Source organism: Homo sapiens, chromosome 3 (assembly GCF_000001405.40).
Source record: "Homo sapiens chromosome 3, GRCh38.p14 Primary Assembly".
NCBI classification, from domain to species: Eukaryota; Metazoa; Chordata; class Mammalia; order Primates; family Hominidae; genus Homo; species Homo sapiens.
The window spans coordinates 195,631,010-195,635,719 of NC_000003.12; the positions used below are offsets into that span (position 1 = coordinate 195,631,010).

Sequence of the window (4,710 nt, forward strand, 5' to 3'; positions counted from 1 at the left end):
TCTGTCTGTGGGGGCTGCAGGGCCAGTGCCTGAGGAGCCCGGACTTCACACAGGGGTCTCTCTGTCTGTGGGGGCTGCAGAGCCGGTGCCTGGGGAGCCCGGACTGCCGGAAACCTTTGCGGTGGGAGGCTGCAGATGGGACTTCTTGGCCTGTGTTTATGTGGAGCCCAGGCTGCGGGCACCACAGCCAGGCACAGGTCAGGGGTAAGTTGTGGGTGATGTAAGGACTAGAAGCGTAAGTAATGGCCTGACCCCCATGTCCTGGCTGTGCTGTGCGGTGGGAAAGACATGGGCTCCGGCGGCTGCTGGGGATGGCCTGGCTTGCACCTGCTGGGTCCCCCCCTGGCCACCAGCCTCACCCAAGGGCAGTTGGTGACTGCCTGCCTCACTCCTGCCAACCCTCAGGGGCCTAGGAGTCCTGCGTGGTGGGTCTAGGAACCATGCTGGAGGACAGGCCTGTGCCAGGGCCACCAGGATGTCTATGGCAGGAGCCGGTGCTGGCGAACCCCACACCTTGAGCCCCAGAGCCAGGATCCTCAGCCCAGGAAAGGGACCAGAGGCGGGAAAACCACACGGCAAAGGCTGTCCCGTGAGGTCACGGCTCCGTCACCGCTGCCCACACACGGAAGGCAGCCGCGGCTGGGTGAAGCCATCTTCACAGACATGCCGTCCTTGAGGCTCTCACACATGCACACAGACGCTCCGTCCTCTCCCACCCGCCCCCCCGCCACCCCGGGCAGGCCAGGAAGTCCCATCTGGGGCCTCCCACCCCGAGGGTTGCCGTCAGTCCGTGTGCCCAGGCATCGGGGCCTGAAGCCTCCACAGACAGCGAGACCTGTGTACGAAGCAGACTCTGTCCTAGGGACAGTGCTGACCCTACAAGGCTGGGTCACTGGAGGCTCCCCGGGTCCAGTGGCTTTGGTGGGACTCCTGGCCAGGCTCCTCCTGGGCCGGGCTGGTCTCCGGCCTCCTGCCTCCCTTGGTGGAGCACCCTTGCTCCCCAGCACCTCCCAGGTTCACACAGCTCCTCCCTGGGGCTGCGCACTGACCCAGGGGCAGGAGGTGGGCCATCCTCTCGGTGGACTGAAGACCTTGTCCGAAGGGAAAGCAGGGCCGGCCCAAGGCCTGGCTGGAAGAGTGGGTCTTGGTGGCAAAGGCGGCCCGTGGGGGCAGCCCACGCGAATGCTTCCCCGGCGCCCTGAGCCCCTGACCGCGGCTGAGCCTGCGGTACTCTGGCCCCTCTCGTGGAAAGATGACCTGGGTCTACCATGCTCAGTATCACCCAAAAATTCCTACAGAAGTCTCTCGGGACAAGAAAAGGCCTTCTTCCCTCCCTCCTCCTTTCCTCTTCCTTTCTTTCATCAGGGAACAGCTTCCGGCTGCCTGCACTGTTTGGGCGCCGTCATAAGGAGCCGTGACGGCCTTCACAGAGCTCCGGGGCTCACGGGTGTGGCTGACCTGCCACAAATGGGGCGACAGAGGAGAGGGAGGGTCGGGCACCGATGGCTCAGGAGGGAAGAGATCCCTTCTGTATGGGGAGACGGGGGCTTCCTGGAGGGCACTGGAGCGAGGGGCTCACCAGAGTGAGACATCCAAGGGATCTGGGGGACCGGCCATGGGACACTGCGGTCCCACGTGGCTCCTGGATGTGCTGTGTGTTTGCTGAGCTGGAGGGGACGGGGAGCCCATGTGTGGGAGAGGGAGAGGCCATGCACGCCCTGAGTCGGGCTTTACAAAAACCTTCTGGGGGCAGCAGGAGAGGAGCCACGCAGAGGCAGAGCCAGGGAGAGGCGGTGGGGTAGTGAGGGGGATGTCGGGGTGCACGGGTTAGGAGACCCCCGAGTCCTGGGACCTGCATGCTGATAGTCAAGGTTGCAGAGGCGGCTGCTGTGGTGACCACAGGGCAGGGAGAGGCAGTGGGGTAGTGAGGGAATGTCGGGGTGCACAGCACCAGACCCTCCCAGATCTTCTGATTCAGTCCTGGGGGGACCCTACCCCAGATCTTCCAATTCAGTCCTGGTTCGGCCTGAGAATTTGCATTTTTAACATGTCCAGGGACCACAGTTTGAAAACCTCCACGGCTGACATGTAATGGGATGACATGGTCCAATAAATGAAGGAAAAATAACAGGTGGCAACCTCAGGCAGCTTCATCCCAACCAGTAAGAAAGTAAATCCTTTTGTAAACTAAGAGGAAGTATTAATATGGGCGTTTGAGCAAACATTTAAGTGTTAGAACAAAGAATTAAAAACTAGCACAGGCACCCCTGAAGCATGATAGGATGGCAACAGAAGGGCTGATTTAGTTTCCAAGAAATAACTGACAGGCAGTGTTGTGCGTGTGTCTACTACTTAGGAACCCAAAACAAACCTTCAGACCGTTTTCATGAGTACTGAGACCAAGAAAACCACTGGGCAGTGGGTGGTCTGGAAATGTAAATGTTGATGGTACTCCAGTAATGAGTCATGGAACAATGTTTCATATTGAAAATGTTTTTGTAAATGTGGGTTTCAAGGTTTCAAAGTGAACCCGTATGTGTTAGGAGAAAGGACACACCAAAGAAGTAAAATAATTGGGTCAATATAAAAAGAAAGTAGAATACTGCCCAGAGAGAAGATGTGGATAATTCCTAACACGGATCAAAGGCACCAAAAAGGTGAGCTGTGAGTAAGATATTCAGACCTGCACCATCCCCTGCATTAGACACAGACAACATCTTGGTAGGCAACTGGGTGAAAATTCAGAGACAACCCTAGGAACTATGAGGATGAAAAAAGTTAGCATTCATGGAATGAGGCACTGACGAAACTGAAAAGCTGGAATAACCCCATGAAATAACGAGAATAATTGTAGTATTCTGAACCGGGGCACAGGACACAGGACTGGAGTGGAAGGCCGCATGAGACCACCCCGGGAAAGACCCAGGGATCACACTGGCCCAAAGGTGGGCACTTCCCAACTCCGGGATTTGTGATACAGGCACTCCAGGCTCCACCATAGAACTGTGTCCAGCACGAAGGCAGTGCTGTCTTGCGGGAGGCAGGGCTGCACCACCACAGGGGCGGGAAGGGGCCCGGCAGGGAGGCGCCCAGTGTTTCCAGCTGCACCGGTCGGGGACCGCGCTGATGCAGAGCGCGGGGGCGCAGGTTAAACCTAAAGGAGGGAAGCTTTTGGGGGCGGAACAGACAACGGAGAACGCTGCACACTGCCCTTCCCACGCGAATTGTGCTTTGCCTTTTTTTTTTTTTTTTTTTTTTTTGAGACGGAGTTTTGCTCTTGTTGCCCAGGCCTGGAGTGCAATGGCCTGATCTCGGCTCACTGCAACCTCCGCCTCCCGGGTTCAAGCAATTCTCCTGCCTCAGCGTCCCGAGTAGCTGGGATTACAGGCGTGCGCCACCACGCCCGGCTAATTTTGTATTTTTAGTAGATACTGGGTTTCTCCATATTGGCCAGGTTGGTCTCGAACTCCTGACTTCAGGTGATCCACCGGCCTCGGCCTCCCAAAGTGCTGGGATTACACGCGTCAGCCACCGCACCCGGCCTGCTTGCTTTTTTTTTTTTTTTTTTTGCAGAGTCTCGCTGTCCACCGGGCTGGAGCTGCAGTGATCTCGGCTCCCTGCGGCCTCGACCTCCCGGGCTCAGGCGATCCTCCCGCCTCAGCCCACGGAGTACATGGGACCACAGGAGCCCACCACGCCCGACTACTTGCTGTAATTTTTGTAGGGATGGGGTCTAGCCCCGCTGCCCAGGCTGGTCCGCACTGCTGGGCTCAAGAGCTCCGCCCGCCTCCGCCTCACAAAGCGCAGGGATCCCAGGTGTGAGCTACCGCGCCCCGCCCAGAGTTTCCGACTGTTAGCGTGAATCATATTCACGTCAAAACTTCTTTTTATACAAGAACTAAAAGGCAAACGAAATCCCTGCTCCATCACTGCCTGTCCCGGGTCGCGGCGCGGGACATTTCCTCCAAGCGCCTTCCCGGCCCCGCGCGCAGGTGGCCTGCGCCGGAGGATCCCGGACAACGCGCATTTCCTGCGCCCCCGGAAGCGGCGGTAACGCCTGGCCCTGCCCCCGGCAGAGGCGGAAGCACAGTCGCTCTGAGGTCGCCCGTGGCCGCAGGTGCCTCAGCCCAGCCGCGCGCCTTGGCCCTTGGCCGCCTACTCCTACCGCCCCGGCCTTGGGCGGCCCTGGGCCTGCTGCGGGCGCGGCGCTGCCCGACCAGAGCTTCCTGTGGAACGTCTTCCAGAGCTGCCACCTGGCACCGCCCCGGCACCTCCCGCCTCCCCCGCAGCTGCCCCGGACCCGTGTCCCGACCCCCGCGGCCAACCCCGTTCCCTGCCGGTTGCCCCGCGGCCTCCCCCGTCACCTGCCGGGTCCCCAGCGGCCTCCCCCGTCCCCTGCCCCGACCTCCGCCGTCTCCCCCGCCCCTGCCCGGACCCCCGCGGGCGCCCCCGAACCCTACCCCGACCGACGCGGCCGCCCCCATCCCCTGCCCCGACCCCCGCGGCCGCCCCCATCCCCTTCCGGGTCCCCCGCGGTCTCCCCCGTCCGCTGCCCGGTCTCCTGGGGCCGCCCCTGCCTCCTGCCCGGTCCCTGTCCTGTGCGTCGGGCGCTTCCCAAGGTGCAGAGGGCGCCACTGCAGACCCGAGGTCGCGGCCACCGGCTCCTGGGCCAGGCCCCGTTTCTCGCCTCGAGCCGTCGGGGGAGGGTCT

The 4,710-nt window shown here is 61.0% G+C and overlaps 1 annotated feature.

The window, feature by feature from the left end:
• Positions 1,753–2,252: an enhancer, noted in NCBI's record as "H3K4me1 hESC enhancer chr3:195359633-195360132 (GRCh37/hg19 assembly coordinates)". NCBI's record gives its function as "activates a minimal SCP1, AML or CMV promoter by ChIP-STARR-seq in naive H9 embryonic stem cells {active_cell/tissue: H9 hESC(naive)}" and the evidence as "EXISTENCE:reporter gene assay evidence [ECO:0000049][PMID:30033119]".